Genomic DNA, 18,561 nt, shown 5'->3' with positions numbered 1-18,561 from the left:
GGTGTTGACGGCGCTGTCAGGAACCTCCCATGTAATTTCTGTTACCACCAGGGGAAGTGAGCAGCGCAGATTAGATGATAGACATTTAATAATTGATAAAGCCTCAGATTGGCCGGGGTAAGGACTTGCGGGGATGTGTGTGTGTGTAACTTGTTTCCCTTCACAGTCATGTAGCTGGTCCGAGCTGGGACTGAGAGCCTGGCTTCTGATCTCTAACTCCAGACTCTGTTCATGACAGAATGCAGCTAACTGTATTCTGAATTCTTTGAGCAAAGTTGTCTCATTCTGCGTTGGTATTTCCTGTCTGTCATTTATTCATCTATCCATTTATTCCTCTATCTTGTTCCATAAATGAATTGAGGGTGCTTACAAGAATATATGTATATCTCTCTATATATTTTATTTATATAAGAAATATAAAGGCTGGGTGCAGTGGCTCGTGCCTGTAATCCCAGCACTTTGGGAAGCTGAGGCAAGAGGATTGCCTGAGCCCAGGAGTTCAAGACCAGCGTAGGCAACATAGTGAGACCCTGTCTCTGAAAAAAAAAAAAGGGAGAAGAAATATAAAAAATAAATATAAAAAGACATGTTAATGGCTGGGCATGGTGGCTCGTGCCTGTAATCCCAGCACTTTGTGGGGGGCAGGGCAGGCAGATCGCTTCAGTCCAGGAGTTTCAGCCAAGCCTGGGCAACATAGTGAGACCCTGTCTCTATTTTTTAAAGTAAGATATATTCATAATATATCTATATATCTAAAAGATACATTCATAGAAAAAAAGTAAAGTAGGTATTACATACCAGACCTATATGTAGATATTTTATATTTATATATGTATGTATGTCTGTTTATATATGTCTATACATATATGTGTGTATGTATATGGACATGTAACTAAATAGAGATCAAAAAAATAAGATCAGGAAAGACATAGATGTAGATTAGCTAGAAGGTTGAAAGCAGGGGGAGAGTTAGACCCCCTATTCAGGCCATCGAGCTGTATATACTTTGCTGTGTTTGAACCACACATTTAGCTCTGAGCTAATGAGCAGTCAAAGCAGGAAAAAAAAATCAGTGACGTGGTTCACGTGGCCCATAAGGAAAGGGCACCAGATACTGAATGCTCGTCCAGGCAATTAGACCTGAAGGAGATTTCTTGCCTGAGTGGTCATTTGCGGAGCCCTGGGTGACAAGGAAAATACGTGGCAAATGTGCCTCTCTGTCTTCTGCCGTCCCCTGGCAGACGCCACCAGTCGATCAGGGCTCTTTCCCACCGAGCCCAGGGGCGGCCTCGCTGCGCTTCCATGCGTGGTGCTCCGGGGCTGGAGTCTGCAGGCGAGACAAAACCCGCTTGCTGTCCAGCCCGAGGGCCGCTGGTGGTGTCAGGGAGGCCATGAGGGGTTCTGAGCGGAGAGCCCCTTGAGTCCTGGTAAGCGCCTCTGCGAGGGTGACACAGGTGGGCCCTGTAGCAGGCGTGTGGGCTGGGAAACGCGTCTGGGTGCCAGTCGGAGTGACCCACAGGGTGATGAGGGTGGGGAAGTTGTGTCTGGAGCGACACGGGGCACGCGCTTGGGATTTCTGGCTTGTTAGCCACTCATTTGTTCCACGCATGTTTAGCAAACACCGATTTTGTGTCTGGAAAGCGTGCCCGACTCACTCCGCTCACACCTCTGGCCTCAGAGTCTCCTCCCCCAGCTCCTCTGTCCGCACGGACACTCGCCTCTCACATCACCTACACCTTTCTATCCCAGCCTATATCGCCGCTTATCCTGACGTGTTTACTAATGTTTATTTGCTTCGTGTTTTGTTTTTGTTGTTTCTCTCCAAGATGGGAGTTCCAGGGTGGCAGGGACAGTGTCTGTCTTGCTCATCATTGTGTCCCCAGTCCTAGCATGGGGTCTGGCACATAGTAGGTGCTCAATTAGTATTTGTGGAATGAATGAATAAAAGAATAAAAAGGTTACAGAGATGAGCCCAGTAGAAGATAAGCACATAAACAAATACAGCATAAGCTCAGTACGAAGGAGAGGGACAAGTAAATAGTTAAAGGACTTCGGGGTGGGAGAGGCTCCTTCCAGGAGGATGAGGAGGTCCAGAAAGGCCTCCTGGTGGAGGACATTTGCTGGGTCCAGAAGGATGAGGTGGAGGGAGGGGCACCTGGGGCCCTGGGGATAGCAGGAGCAAAGGCAGAGGCAGACCTGGAGGGGAGAAAAACCAGATTTTACTTGGGGTGCTCCTAGGGCGGTGGCGGGGAGGAGCAGCCACCCAGGAAGGGTGGATCTGAGGCAGCTGCGGGAGCTCTGCACAGCAGGCTGACTGGGCAGGAGGCGGAGAAGCAGATACGAGTGGAGTGCAGGGGGAGAGGGGCCTTAGGCAGGCAAGGCAGGAAAGAGAAGAGCTAGGGGAACTGGGCAGGCCCAAGTGTGGCCCGGGGGTGGTGGAGGCAATACCCGGGGAGAATGCACAGCCTTTACTCCCTGACTGCGTTTATATTCTGCCTCTCCCGTGCCTGTTGGTCCTTGGGGACGGCCCTCCGGCAGGTTCTGGCCTCAGGACCCCGCACCAGCCCCGGCCGTGCCAGCTGCCCTCCCACTGGCCTGGCCCAGCTCTCCAGAGAGGCTTCATGCAGCCAGTTCCCCAGGGAACACCGTTGCCCACACGTTGCTAATGTTAAAACATGAATTTATTGCATCTGTAGCATCTTACCTTGAGCACGGCTTCTTTCAATGCTTTTATTTTGCAATTATAGGTTTATTTTCTTCCTTTCCTCTCTCTTGAGCTTTTTAAGGTGTTTTCTGTCACTCAGCTGGAGACTTTAAATTTCCTATTTATATTAATTATCAAATTATTTCATATATGAGTCATTCAGCTCAGCCCTTTTTGGCTCCTTCTTGCAACTCTTACTTGTGGATTTATTGGGCAGTTCAGCGCCTACTTTCATGGGCAGACTCAACTGGCGAGATTTTAACTGGAGGGTGAGAGATGTCCTGGCCACGGGGCCCTGTTGCTCACAGTCCCTGGATCAGAGGATGGTGCCGGATGGGCAGGTGCTGAGGATGCACATACCGCCCTCGGGTTAGCACCGAAGGTTCTTGTGTCAGACGTGAGGCTTCCTTCCTGGGTTCTTTCTGGCTGCGCTAGTCCAGAAGACCAGCAAACCCGAGATGGTCTGAGGTGGACGATGGAGCCTGAATGGAGAGCCTGGGGCGTGAGCCAGGGTCTGGGATACCCTGGGACAGAGTTAGATGCCCCTGCAGACGTGGATGAGCGGCTGAAGACTAAGGGAGCAGGTCACACGTGGTGACAGACAGGAGAGGCTGCTGTGCCATCCAGGGGCTGGGGAAGGAGCCCCCGTGGAGAGGCTCCATTTCGGCCACGTGGCTGCTGCAGACAACCGGGAGTCAGCGTCGGCACAAACACGGGTGCCTCGAAAGAGAGCAGTGCCGGCCTGGTGTCTCCGGGCCCAGCTGCCACTGGCACAGGCCTCCGAAGGGGCAGGAGCAGGAGCAGGAGCAGAAAGCGCACATCAGGGCTCATGCTGTGCCTGTGAAGATGTCGGGCACGTCCGTTAGTGTGTGTGGTGCGCGGTCGCCTGTGAAGACGACTGTTAGTGTGTGTGGTGCGTGGTCGCCTGTGAAGACGACTGTTAGTATGTGTGGTCTACGGTCGCCTGTGAAGACGACTGTTAGTATCTGTGGTGCGCGGTCGCCTGTGAAGACGACTGTTAGTATGTGTGGTCTATGGTCGCCTGTGAAGACGACTGTTAGTATCTGTGGTGCGCGGTCGCCTGTGAAGACGACTGTTAGTAAGTGTGGTGCGCGGTCGCCTGTGAAGACGACTGTTAGTAAGTGTGGTGCGCGGTCGCCTGTGAAGACGTCTGTTAGTAAGTGTGGTGCGCGGTCGCCTGTGAAGACGACTGTTAGTAAGTGTGGTGCGCGGTCGCCTGTGAAGACGACTGTTAGTAAGTGTGGTGCGCGGTCGCCTGTGAAGACGACTGTTAGTGTGGTGCGCGGTCGCCTGTGAAGACGACTGTTAGTAAGTGTGGTGCGCGGTCGCCTGTGAAGACGACTGTTAGTAAGTGTGGTGCGCGGTCGCCTGTGAAGACGTCTGTTAGTAAGTGTGGTGCGCGGTCGCCTGTGAAGACGACTGTTAGTATGTGTGGTGCGCGGTCGCCTGTGAAGACGACTGTTAGTATGTGTGGTGCGCGGTCGCCTGTGAAGACGACTGTTAGCAAGTGTGGTGCGCGGTCGTCTGTGAAGACGACTGTTAGCAAGTGTGGTGCGCGGTCGCCTGTGAAGACGACTGTTAGCAAGTGTGGTGCGCGGTCGCCTGTGAAGACGACTGTTAGCAAGTGTGGTGCGCGGTCGCCTGTGAAGACGACTGTTAGTATGTGTGGTGCACGGTCGCCTGTGAAGATGTCTTTTAGTAAGTGTGGTGCACGGTCGCCTGTGAAGACGACTGTTAGTATGTGTGGTGCACGGTCGCCTGTGAAGACGACTGTTAGTAAGTGTGGTGCGCGGTCGCCTGTGAAGACGACTGTTAGTAAGTGTGGTGCGCGGTCGCCTGTGAAGATGACTGTTAGTAAGTGTGGTGCACGGTCACACCTTCCCACACAGTGCAGGTGACTTACTCAGGGCTCTGGATGGCAAATGACAAGGACCCAATTCAAACTAGCATAAGCAAAAAGGCAGCTCTGTGGGCCTGGCACCTGGGGATCAAAACAGTCGTTCAGGCACGGCTGGATCCAGCCATTGACCATGGGTATGAGGTGACTCACCTTCATCTCTCAGCTCTGTTTAGCTGCACCGGCAGACAGGCCGTTTCAAGGGGGAGCCAGGTGGCTACTGGCCATCGTGAGCTAGTGCCGTGCTTACCGTCCCAGACAGTGGGTTTATTGCACAGGAACTCTGGCAAGACCCCAGGAGGACTCAGTATGGCTGGGTCTGGGTCACATGCCCAGCCCTGAGCCAATTACCCTGCCTTGGGGGTGGGGCTATTCTAATTGGTCATCCTCATCACATTCACCCAGGAAGAAGGGGAAGGAGGGGCTGTTTCTCTTGCCCAGGAAGACTGGGCGTGACTACTTTGACCTGAAGAGTTATTCTCAAAAAGGAAAGGAATGCTGGGTAGACAAAATATATGCCCATTGCAGAAGGCCAGCAGGGGCCCCTGGCCTTCGCTTTGCTAAAGGTGGCAGGTGCACAGCTGTCCGGACCCTGGAGCTCAGTGTGAGGAGTGTAAAGGTGTAGAAGGTGCCGTCTGTGCAGCAGTGTGGCGGCGTTCTGCCTTTCTCAGCTGAATGGAAGACAAACACTCAGGCCTCTTCACACCTTCGTGACTGGTCCCCCCTGGACCTTTGCGCAGAGCTGGCCTTTCCATGAAGCAAACTCTGGGCACATGTGGAAACCAGCCTCTTGCTGCCATGCCTGCCCCAGGGACTGACCAGGGTCGGCTCCAGTCACTGACATAGTTTATCACATCTCTTTGGCCTCTGGTCTCTGGATCCACACCTCTGGCTCTGACGTCTGCATCGAGCCCCTGTCCCTGCTGGGTTCAAGTCTCTTTTCCAGAAGCTTCACTTGGCTCGAGGCTCCACTTGATTTGGTGTCATTTGCGTTTCTGAGCTTGGTCCTCCCGACCTGTGGTCCTGCCAGGGGAAGAGCAGCGTGGCCTGGCTGGACCCTGGCAAAGGAGGCTTCTCTTCTGCATTTCTTCTACACGGAGTGCATGAGCAGGACAAAGACCAGCTGATTCCTGCAGGCCTGGGGCTGTGGTGTGCGGGTCTCCCACAGGCCTTGGTATGTGTGTGGTGTGTGGTCCCGCACACTCAGAGATGGCTTCCAGCACATTCCACACTTTCTTTCTTTCTTTCTTTTTTTTTTGAGTCGGAGTCTCGCTCTGTTGCCCAGGCTGGAGTGCAGTGGCGCGATCTCGGCTCACTGCAAGCTCCGCCTTCCGGGTTCAAGCGATTCTCCTGCCTCAGCCTCCCGAGTAGTTGGGACGACAGTTGCCCACGACCATGTCTGGCCAAGCCTCAGCCTTCCCAAGTGCTAGGGTTACAGGCGTGAGCCACTATGCCTGGCCTACCCATGAATTTTATTTTATTTTTTAAATTTTAAGGCGAGGTCTCACTCTGTCACCTAGGCTGGAGTACGGTGGCTAGATCATGGCTCACAGCAGCCTCAAACTCCTAGACTCCAGCCACCCTCCCACCTCAGCCTCCTGAATGGCTGGGGCTACAGACATTTGCCACCACACCTGGCTAATTTTTGTATTTTCAGTAGAGATGGGTTTTTACTATGTTGGCCAGGCTGGTCTCGAACTCCTGACCTTAGGTGATCCACCCGCCTCGGCCTCTGGAGTAGCTGGGGTTACAGGAGTGAGCCACCGTGCCAGTCCTCCTTCCACCCTTTCATATAACCAGCAGCGCATATCAGCACTTCTCAACATCTTTACTGCAGGACCTTTTCTTCAAATGAAGTCTTACCTGGAAGCCTGACAGATGACGAGGAAAAAGCTGAGTTGCTCTGGGTTGGGCTGTAATAACCCCCTTGTTCCCAGCCCCCTGCTTCTGCTTGCACGGTCCTGAAGAGGGGCTCCACACCCCTGGCTCCTTGGAACCCAGTTTGTTGGGTTATAATAACCGGCCTTGTTCCCAGCCCCCTGCTTCGCCTGTACAGTCCTGAAGAGGGTCTCCACACCCCTGGCTCCTTGGAACCCAGTTTGAGAGCCTCTTGGCAATTATATCCATCTGTCTGTCTCTCTTGTGGTAGCACCTGCTGCTGCTCCCCATGGGGAAAGGTTGCTGATGGTGTTTATTTTTTTTTTAAGCATGAAAACATTTTCTTTTTTCTATCAGTAGCTTGTTTGCACTATGAAAAGGTCAACAGAGAGATCCTTGTCATCTTCCTTCTCCCTGCAGGAGGGTGTCAGGGTGTAAGTGCTCCCTCGCTGTGCAGGGGTTCATTTCATTCATTTCATTACCCTTGCCCTCCTCGAGGTACCTCCGGGAAGCTGTTCCATTTACACATCTGTCAAGTTCTCTGTGCGTCAATTTGCCTTGCTCCTGAAGAGCCACACCCAAAAGGGGCCCCACTCCAGGCAGCGGGGCTTCAGGAAGCGATGAGATGCTGACGCAGGCCCCGTGCACCACCACTGCTGCCTGTAAGGGCTGTTTTGGATACAGAAAATGTGCCCTTTCTAACCCAAAAAATGCTTGAAATGTGTAAAAGTGGCCAGACTAACAGTCCCAAAGAGGGCTGCCCTCTAAGAGGAAGCGTCCCAAATCTGTTCAGTTTTAGAGACTACGTGACTGGGGTACGTGGTGGGGCCTTACCAGACATCCACGAGGAGAATCCAGGCCTTGGTTTGGCTCCAGCTGGGCCTGCCTGGTGGCTGCCACTTATTGACTTAAGTCCCAGTGATTCAGCTCCTCATCTGGAACACCTCGGGTCACCCCCGACAACGGTGGTGGGAGGGAGAGCGGCCTCCTCCTCCCTGGTGGGGCCTGTCTGGGTGAAGCCCCTCTGTTCCCGGTAGGTGTTTCGGGGTCTCATGGCTCCAAGGACATTGGAAGATGCCTCTGTTTTCCTGGAGTCAGGGGCCCAGTTCATGCAGGGGTTTTCACAGAACTTTGCTAACTTCCGGGGAAAAGGTTTGTGTCTTTGCTGGGAGAGCGTCTGGTTAATCGTTGACTGGAAACTTGCTTTTCCAGGCTGCCCCAGGTCCTGCTGCTTCTAAAGAAGAGGCAGCCGGGGCTGGAGAACAGCCTCGTGCCGCAGGTCCTGCTGCTTCTAAAGAAGAGGCAGCCGGGGCTGGAGAACAGCCTCATGCCCCGCTGGTGCCTCCGTTGCTCTTTCTGTGTGGTCCTTTGAAACACCCCAGTGGACAGAGATGGATTTGGGGGAGTGGGGCAGAGGGGTTGTGCGCTAGCAGCAGATGGGCCTGGGGTCAGGCAGAGAATGGGGGCCACGCATCGGAGCAGACCAGAGCGTGCTGTTGGAGAGCTGTTTGTATTGCGTGTTATGCTGCGTGCAAGACTGGCTCAGGGGCTGCAGCAGGCTCTGTGCTCCCTACCCTGGGATACTCACATTTGGTGACAAGTCCCCAGATAACTGTGAGATGGGGCCGAAAAACCCAGGGGCCACAAAGAAAGCAGAACATAAAGTGCCAAGGCCACGCGTCTTAGAGCAGGAGGGGATTTTTGAAGATTTTGGAAGGCCGCGTGGCCAGTTGACTTGGTCAGGAGCAGTTGAAGTTGTCAGGATGTAAGCACGGCCTGTACGCACATGCAGGGGCCCGTTTCGGGACCCTTGTCCCTCGAGGTGCTGTTCCATTTACAACCTGTATATAGGTTTACCTCGTCAGGCACATGGACAAGCATTTAAAAATGTTTTCCTGATGATTTATTTTCATGTGTATTAGAGCATAACTTGTTTTTTTTCATCTGCCTTCTATTTGTGGCATATGGCATGGTTTTTCTATTTATGGTGGAGATATACAGTTTCCTTTGAAAATAAATTTGTTCAAGTAAAAGAGTGGGTTGATTTAAAGGGAAATATTAAGTAAAGAATCGTACGGGAGCCACGTGGGGATGGCTGGTGGCGTGTGGAGGCCTGTGCTTTGGAAATTGCATGCTGGAGGAATTCAGAGACAAGAAAAAGAGAGGCTCATGGAAGAGACAGGCGGGGTGCAGGAGGAGTGAGACTCAGCTAGGTGGAGATGGGAGGTGGGTCTGTACTTACAGGTCCAGACATGTGGGTACGATTCTTGGTGTAATCTATTTTGGTTGCAGCAGGTGAGTCCTGTAGGGAACAGAGGGTAGGTGTGGGACTATATTGTGGAGGACCGTCAGTCTCAGGGTGTGGCCTCTGAACTTTTCAGGAGGCAGTGGGAGCTATTGAGGGTGCTTGAGGAGGGGAGTGTTTCTTGACAGTCCTTGAAGAGTCTCGTTTATGTGTAGTGGATACCAGGACTGGAGGCAGATGACCAGTTAAGGGCCCAGGTAAAGAGGGTTTAAGAAGCCAAACTAGGGCCATAGCCAAGGACAAGCAACCCAGCCACCCAGGACATCTCTTACTGGCTTGGGGGGCAGCCTAGAGACGTTGGAGAGAGGTAGGTCGGAGGTGGACAAGCTGAGCCTTGGCCCTCTGTGGGGAGGCCGTGGGTGATGGGCAGGGGTACAGTTCAGAAGTTGTACATGGAGTCCTAGAAGGGGGGAGCATCTTCTCCTGGCTGGGCTGGGAGGAGATGCTAAGAGCTACTCAGTGACCTCTTCCTGGAGTCTCCTGGCCTATCATGGAATGTTCTGGAATGTTGTCGGGGAAGTGGGTGCGGCCAGCTGAAGGAAGCTCCTCTCTGGGCCAGAGTTCAGACAGGAGGAGGAAGCCTGCTGTTTCCTGCCCTATGGTTTGGCCCAGATGGCCTTGGCTGACAGCCCAGGCCAAGATTTCATCCATCATCAGGGCCTGCGGTCAGAGGGTCACAGTTTTTTTAATTCCCATTTCATCCTTTTAGTGCAGAGAAGTTCACCAGCATTCAGGGACCAGCTTGGTTTAAAAAACGGGTTTGTTTTGTTTTGTTTTGTGAGGGCCTGCTAGGTACCAGATACTGTGTTTGGAACTTTTTTTTCTTTTTTTGAGATGGGGTCTTGCTCTGTCACCAGCTAGAGTGCACTGGTGCGATCTCGGCTCACTGCAACCTCCGCCTCCTCGGTTCAAGCGATTCCCCTGCCTCAGCCTCCTGAGTAGCTGGGATTACAGGCATGCACCACCATGCCCAGCTAATTTTTGTATTTTTAGTGGAGATGGTGTTTCACCCATGTTGGCCAGGCTGGTCTTGATCTCTTGACCTCATGATCTGCCCACCTCGGCCTCCCAAAGTGCTTGGATTACAAGTGCGTGCCACCACGTCCAGATAATTTTTGTATTTTTAGTAGAGATGAGGTTTAACTATGTTGGCCAGGCTGGTCTCAATGTTGTGATCCGTCTGCCTCAGCCTCCCAAAGTGCTAGGATTACAGGCGTGAGCCACCGCGCCCAGCCTGGAACTTTTACTCTGTTACCACAATTCACTCTGGAAAAAACCTGTTGAGGAATGCATTACTTATTACCTCTGTTGTACAGAGGAAGAAATGGAGTGTAGGGAAATGTAACAAGCCCCAAATTAAACCGCTGGTTAGCTGTAGAGTCCAATTGCAAACCTACACCTCTGAAAGGGAGATCGCATCTGCAGTAGTGAGACTGTGGACACACTATTTAACTTGGAGGAATCTAATTGGCCTCTGTGCTCCTCTGTGTGGGTGTGTGCTGTCCCTGTGGTGTGCTGGGCACAGCAGTAATATCAGGGTGCTGATGGCCCTCGATGGGATTGCAGTGGAGATTGTGAGTGATGATATAGATAAGGTGTTACAGAAATGTCAGCTGCTGCTGCTATTACTACATAAAACTAGAGTTGCATAATCCTGGACTCGATTTTACTGGAAGACATTTTTGGAAGGTTATGTCTTAAGGTGGAGGAGAAGCATTATTTTAATTAAATTGAATTAATTAGTTAATTTTTAACATTTATTTTTATTAAAAAGTTTTTTTATAGAGATGGGGTCTTGCTACATTGCCCAGGTTGGTCTCGAACTCCTGGCCTCAAGCAATCCTCCCACCTTGGCCTCCCAAAGTGTTGGGATTACAGGCATGGTCCACTGTGCCCAGTCATTTTAATTTTTGAAATAATCAATATGTGGTGGGATAGAACGTGCATTTAACCTTAGAGCCGTTTTGAGTTTGAGCTGGTAATTTCTGGGCACGCTCCTGGCCCCTGGATGTTGGGAGATGTGGGTGAAATGGGGAGGGTGTGTTCACTTTCCTCTCTTCTCAGCCTGACTTCAGTGAAAGCTCAAGGTGCACTTGGCTGTTTCTACAGCTTCGGAGTTCCCAGCTCTGCCCAAGTTGGTGCCAGCGAGCTGTGACCTCAGGGCAGTCACTAACCTGCCCAGGCGAGTTTCCCTCCTGCCCAATTACCCTAGTTCTCTGAGTGAGTTTCCTCTTCCTTTGTGGCACTTCTGGGAGGACCATTCTCTCCCTGGAATGCCGCCTTCTGCCTGCCAAGTCCCTCCTTTTCCCTCTGAGCCCTGCACCACATTCTTCTCTTTGAAGCCCTCCAGGACTGCCACAGAGCAAGATCTTCACTGCGCCTTCTCTTCACTCCCAGTGTTCTTTGCATGGCCTCAGCATTTATTGGAGCCGCTGTCTGATTCATTTTGGATTCATCTCGTGCACTGTGCAATATGCAGTGGCTCTTCAGAGCCAGCACAATGGAGGTGACCCTTCTCCCCGTGCACCTTCCAGAGATTAACACGTAAACAAAGAAATAAACACAGATTCCAACTGTGATGCATGTGGTGAAGAAAGAACTGGGGCCCAGTATTTGTTGACCTTTCAGTGTTCTGCACTCCCAAGGGAGGGCCACGTGGTGGGGATGGAACACAGGCATGGACAGTACGTACCTTCCTCCTTTAGCAAACAGGGATGATGGGCGCCTGTGATTAGTCCACACAAAAGCATTCGGGAGGGTATAACACTCAAATGTAATATTAGTGGCGTGGCAAGATTCTTCCGCATTGATGACCATTAGTGTGCTATTTTTGTTTTCTCTATGAAGAAGAAAATTAAAATTTTTTTCATTGCATTTGGTAGCACTTTACTTTTTTTTTTTTTTCTTGAACAGTGTTAGGTTTACAGAAAAAATTGAACAAAAAGTACAGAGTTCCCGTCTAACCTCTTACCTCTTTCAATTTCCCATGATTAACATCTTGCTTTGGTGAGGTACATTTGTTACAATAAATGTGGTAATACTGATACATTATTATTAACTGAAACGTGTAGTGTACACTTAGGGTTGGATCTTGGAGGTGTAGGTAGTGTGGACTTCAACCAATGTGTAAGGACATGTGGGGAGAATAATGGCTTTGCTGCCTTCAAAATCCCCTGCAATCCATGTCCTCATCCTTCCTGTTCCACGCCCAAATCCCTGGTCTTTTTACTGTCTCCATAGTTTGGCCTTTTCCAGAATGTCATAGATGTAGTTGGAACCCTGCAGTAAGTAGCCCTTTCAGACTGGTTTCCTTCCCTTTGCCAGCTCTGTTTTTTTTTTTTTTTTTAACTGCTCCTTGCAGAGAAGGGTTGCCCCATAGGCAGGGTGCCCAGAGTAGCCTCATTTTTCTTTTAATTAATTTAATTTTTTTTTTTTTGGTAGAGATGGGATTTCACTATTTTGCTCAGGCTGGCCTTGAACTCCTAGCCTCAAGTAATCCTTCCACCTCGGTCTCCTAAAATGCTGGGATTACAGGCATGAGCCATCCTGCCCAGCCTTACTAGCTCATTTTTTTTATCACTGAATTCTGTTCCATCGTATGAATATATGGTACCATATTTTGTTTATTCACCTGATGAAGGACATCTTGGTTGTGTCCAAGTTTTTGCAATTATGAATAAATATTTAGTCAACATGAGTGTGCCGGTTCTTGAATAGAGATAACTGTTCAGTTTATTTGCATAAATGTTCAGTTCATTTGCATATACCAAGGAATGTGATTGCTGGATCCTTTGGTAAGAGTATAGTCAACTTTGTAACAAACTACCTTCCAAAGTGGCTGGGCTGGTTTTTTTTTTGAACAGAGTCTTGCTCTGTCACCCAGGCTGGAGTGTGGTTGTACAGTCACGGCTCCCTGCCACCCTGAGCTCTGGGGCTCAAGCCATCCTCCCATCTCAGCCTCTCGAGGAGCTGGGACTGTGGGCATGTGCCCTCACGCCTGGCTAAACATGTTTTTATTTTTCATAGATACAAAGTCCCACTGTGCTACCCAGGTTGGCTGTACTGTTTTGCAGTGCTTGAGGGTTCCCTGTTGAAAATTTTTTATTTTTCATAGATACAGAGTCCCACTGTGCTGCCCAGGTTGGCTTTATTTTTATTTATTTATTTATTTTTTTAAAATCTGGGACGGAGTCTCGCTCTGTTGCCTAGGCTGGAGCACAGTGGCATGATCCTGGCTCACTGCAACCTCTGCCTCCCGGGTTCACGCCATTCTCCTGCCTCAGCCTCCTGAATAGCTGGGACTACAGGTGCCTGCCACCATGCCTGGCTAATTTTTTGTATTTTTAGTAGAGACGGGGTTTCACCATGTTAGCCAGGATGGTCTCGATCTCCTGACCTCGTGATCCTCCCGCCTCGGCCTCCCAAAGTGCTGGGATTACAGGCGTGAGCCACCGCGCCTGGCCGGCTGGGCCATTTTACAGTGTTTGAGGTTCCTGTTGCCGCACATCCTCACTAGCATTTGGTGTTGTCAGTGTTTTGGATCTGGGCTGTTCTAACAGGTGTGTAGTAGTATCTTGTTGTTTTAATTTGCAATTCCCTAATTACATATCATGTTGGACATCTTTTCATTGGCTTGTTTGCCATTTGTATATCTTCAGTGAAGTGTCTGTTGTTTGTTTTCTTATATTTTACAAAATAGTGTTTTTCTATTTATAATCTTATTTATTGTCTCTGACTTATCTGAAAGGAGAAGGAAAAAAGATTATGTGCGTACATGGGATGACTGATGATATGGTTTGGCTGTGTCCCCACCCAAATCTCATCTTGCATTCCCACCTGTTGTGGGAGAGACCCGGTGGAGGTCATTGAATCATGGGGGCGGGTCTTTCCCGTGCTGTTCTCATGAGAGTGAATAAGTCTCACGAGAGCTGATGGTTCTGTAAGGGGGAGTTTTCCTGCACAAGCTCTCTCTTTGCCTGCTGCCGTTTATGTAAGACGTGACTTGCTCCTCCTTGCCTTCCACCATGATTGTGAGGCTTCCCCAGCCACGTGGAACTGTAAGTCCATTAAACCTCTTTCTTTTGTAAATTGCCCAGTCTTGGGTATGCCTTATCAGCAGCGTGAAAACGGACTAACACAACTGGGACGGGAAAAGGCCCCAAACACACATAGTTCTGTCTAGCAAAGAGTACTATGAAGTGTTGAGAAGTTGGACTATGCTTGTGGTTAAGAGCTTATGCTTGGAGTTCAAATCCTGGGCCTTTGTCGCTTACCAGCTGTCATTTACCTCTCTGAGCCTCAGTTTGCTCACCTGTACAATGGGGTTGTTAAAACCTGCCTCATAGGGTTACTTTGAAAGATAAAGGAGATGATTCCATAAGCACTTGGAACTAAACCTTGCAAATGGTAAGCCCTCAATGGTGGTTCTCCTAATTGATCATTGACAGACAAACCTTTCACCTCCCCCATGTGACATTTTGTGTTTCCCTTATGTCCTGGTCTTCGAGACTCAGAGCCCACTGGCATCCCATTTGTCCTTACAGTGCAAAGTCGGGGTGTGTGTGCAGGTGGGGAGCAGGCATGCCCCAGCAGGGTGTGCGGGCAGATGGGGCAGTTGGGGAGCACGCTTGCCTCAGCAGGGTGTGCATGCAGATGGGGAGCACGCGTGCCCCAGCAGGGTGTGCACGCAGATGGGGAGCACGCGTGCCCCAGTAGGGTATGCACGCAGATGGGGAGCACGCGTGCCCCAGCAGGGTGTGCGCGCAGATGGGGAGCACGCGTGCCCCAGCAGGGTGTGCGTGCAGATGGGGAGCACGCGTGCCCCAGCAGGCACCCACTTCTCAGCCTCAGGGCACTGCTCCTAGCCTCCTCTCACTTGCCCCAGGACTCAGTTCTCTAGCCAGTCCTGGGTGGCTGTTTCTGTTTCTCCAAGCCTGGCTATACAGGCGTAGAAACCCCAGGGATTCCCCCTTCCAGCTTCTCTGAGGATGAACCCCCCGGTGGTTTTGTTTGAGGAAGTTCCTGCTAATGGCAATGAGAAGTTAGAGAGGTGGGAAAGTGACCAGGCAGATGGAGTCCTCACAGCAGTGGCTGTAGACTTGCCAGCTACTGCCACCTTTGCAGATGGGATTTAGGGTGTTCTGTTTGTTTGTTTGCCTTTGAGACAGGGTCTCACTCTGTAGCCCAGCCTGGAGTGCAGTGGCACGATCATGGCTCACTGCAGGCTTAACCTCCCCAGGCTCAGGTGACCCTCCTACCTCAGCCTCCCAAGTAGCTGGGATTACAGGTGTGTGTCACTGAGCCCAGCTAATTTTTTCTGTGTGTGTGTGTGTTTTCAGAGACAAGGTTTCACCATGTTGCCCAGGCTGGATTCAAACTCCTGGGCTCAATCGATCCTCCCGCCTTGGCCTCCCAAAATGCTGGGATTACAGGCCAGGATGGTTTTTGATTTGGCCTCACCAACGGGCCTCCTGCCTCTCTCAGCAAGGCCAGGTGGCCTTTCCCCTCATGCTGATTCCTCTTCCCAGTATATACACTTTCTATTCATCAGGTCTCCTGCCCAGATATGAGCCCCTCTGGGCATTTCCCCCAATACAGAAGAGGATGATGATGAGAATAGTGATGACTGATGGTGACAATGTCTGATGGAGGTGAATATGATGATGTAACAGTGATTGTGATGATAGTGATGATGGTGATGGTGATTGACAATGATGGTGATGATTATAGTGATGGTGGTAACTGAGATGACAGTGATGGTGGTGATGATGACTGATGGAGGTGAACATGGTGATGATGTAACAGTGATTGTGATGATAGTGATGATGGTGATGCTGATTGACAATGATGGTGATGATGAGGGCGATGATAGTGGTGTTGGTGATGATGATGGTGATCATGATGATGGTGATGATGATAGTGATGATGGTGGTGGTGACACAGATGACAGTGATGGTGATGATGATGTGGGTGATGGTCATGATAGTGGTGATGATGTCTGATGGTGGTGATGGTGATGATGATGTGGGTGATGATGGTGATGATGTCTGATGGTGGTGATGGTTATGATAGTGGTGTTGGTGATGATGATGGTAATAATGATGACGGTGATGGTGATGGTGATGATTATAGTGATGGTGGTGGTAACCGAGATGACAGTGATGGTGGTGATGGTGACTGATGGAGGTGAATATGATGATGATGTAACAGTGATGGTGATGATAGTGATGATGGTGATGATGATGAGGGTGATTATAGTGGTGTTGGTGATCATGATGGTAAAAATGATGATGGTGATGATGACAATGTCTGATGGTGATGATGACTGGAGGTGAATATGATGGTGACAATGATGGTGATAGTGATGACGATGATGACAGTGGTGACGATGATGATGGTGATGATGGGGGTGATGATAGTGATGATGGTGGTGATGACAGAGATGACAGTGATGGTGATGGTAATGATGATGACTGATGGTGATGATGGTGAATATTATGATGATGATGGTGATGATGAGGATGGCCATGATGGCCCTACCCTGAGAATGCACACTGTGACAGGCTTTGTGCTGGTTGTGTTACCTACACCACCTCTATCAGGTTTTCTCAACTCCAGTGCTTTGGCGTTTAGGCTGGATAACTCTGTCATGGGGGCTGTTTTGTGCCTCAGGGATGTTTAGCAGCATTCCTGGCCTCTACCCACTGGATGGATAGTAGTCAATAGCACCCGCAACTATGTCTCCAGATATTTCCAAATGTCTCTTGGGGGACAAAATCACTCCGATTCAGAACCACCGGTTGAATTTATTCTTCCCAATAGCCCCAGGAGGCAGCTACTCATTTATAGATGATGCACCCAAGCCTTAGAGAAATGAAGGAAGTTGCCCAAGGTCACCAAGCTCATAATTCGCAGCCAGAATGCAAACCTCAGATACGCGACCCTGAGCCCAGACCTGTAACCACTGCCCTTTGTCACCTGTCAGAAGAAGAGAATTCATCAGCCTGCTGGCAGGGCTACCTGGAGTGCGTGACAGGGTTGAGCGCCTGCTTTGTCAGTCCCAGCATCCCTTGCCAGATTCATTTGGAGCTAATAAAAGCAGTGGCTCTGCCCATTTTCTGACTTGGTTTGAACTCAGAGAGCTGAATGTGTTTACGTAGAGACTGACTCCACAGCCCTCAGTCCTGTGCCACGATAGGGAAGTCCTGCATCTTCTGCTTCCCTGAGGCAGCCATGTCACCTGGTGTGTCGCCTGTGGACACCTGTGGGGAGCAGGAACAGGCATGGATGTGTTTTTTTGCAAGTGGGACCTTGCAAGGTCATTGTCTGTGTCCTCCTAATGTTGTGAACCTGGTTTCTACAGGTTGAATGCCCAAAATACCTACTTGTAATTTTACTTTTATAATAATTTATTATGAATAATTAAAAACATGCAGCAAAGTGGAACAAATGTTATAGTGAAACTTACATGCCTGACATTTGGATTCCATCACTAACAATTTCCTTGATCTGTCGTGGTGTTTCTTGTTTTTGGAACCCAGATTAGCATCATGTCTGGCTGGTTGGTCAATGAGACTCTATAAATTCTCTATGAGGAGAATAAATTAATAACATATTAATTTGGGATAGATGGTCTTCATTCACCAGAGTAATGGGGGATGTCATGGATGACCTTCTAATCACCATCACCAATCATCACCACATACAGAAACCCTATTCCCTTTTGCTGTCCCCCTTCCCTGACCCCAACAAGCCCTAGGCAACCACTAATCTACTTTCTGTCTCTATAAATTTGTCTATTCTGAACATTTTACATAAATGGGATCATATATGTGGTTTTTTGTGACTGGCTTCTTTTAACAGATTTTCAAGGTTTGTCTGTGTTGTAGCATGAATCGATACTTCATTCCTTTTTATAGCCAAATAATATCCTTTTGTGTGGATACACCATATTTTGTTTGTCCTTTTCCCAGTTGATGGACATTTGAGTTGTTTCCCCCTTTGGCTATTGTGAATGGTGCTGCTATGAGCATTGGTGTACAGGTTTTAATTTGAACACTTGCTTTCAATTCTTTTGGGTCTATACCTGGGAGCGAAATTGTTGGGTCAGATGATAATTGTGTGTTAACTTGTTGAGGAACTAAACTGTCTTCCATAGTGGCTGCACCATCTCCATTCCCACCAACAAGATACAAGTGTTCCAGTTTCTCCACATCCTCACGAACACTTGTTATTTTTCATATTTTTTAGTGTAGCCATCCTAGTGGATGTGAAGTGGTATCTCATGGTGGTTTTGATTTGTATTTTCCTGATGGTTAACAATATTGAGTCTTTTTTCATGTGATTTTTGGGCATTTGCGTATCTTCTTTGGGGAAATGTCTTTTCAAATCCTTTGCCCATGTTTAAATGGAATTGTCATTTTGTTGTTGAGTTGTGAGAATTATTTATATAGTGTAGATACTAGACCCTTATGAGATATATGGTTTGCAAATATCTTCTCCCATTCTATGGGCTGTCTTTTCACCTTCTCGATAGTGTCCTTTGATGGACAAAGTTGTAAATTATGACAGATTTACAAATTACGATAAAGTCAGCCAGGCACAGTGGTGTATGCCTGTCATCTCAGCTATCTGGGGGGCCGAGGTGGGAGGACAACTTGAGCCCAGGAGTTTGAGATGAACCTAAACAGCACGGCATTACCCCGTCTCAAAAAAATTATGATAAAAAATCCAATTTGTCTCTTTTTTCTTTTGGTG

At 49.5% G+C, this 18,561-nt stretch overlaps 1 protein-coding gene across 4 annotated transcripts in view; it reads left to right on the top strand.

Moving 5' to 3' along the window:
- The window catches only part of RPH3AL (rabphilin 3A like (without C2 domains)), a 140,419-nt gene continuing 129,295 nt past the window's right edge, over positions 7,438 to 18,561 (top strand). For all 4 annotated transcript variants that reach the window (NM_001190413.2, NM_001190411.2, NM_001190412.2 and 1 more), the window contains exon 1: positions 7,438 to 7,533. The gene's annotated coding sequence lies outside the window, so the exon portion shown is untranslated. The remainder of the gene's footprint in view (positions 7,534 to 18,561) is intronic.

Source organism: Homo sapiens, chromosome 17 (genome assembly GCF_000001405.40).
Source record: "Homo sapiens chromosome 17, GRCh38.p14 Primary Assembly".
NCBI classification, from domain to species: Eukaryota; Metazoa; Chordata; class Mammalia; order Primates; family Hominidae; genus Homo; species Homo sapiens.
Note: the sequence above shows the minus strand (reverse complement) of the source record. Positions and strands in the feature narration are given on the sequence as shown.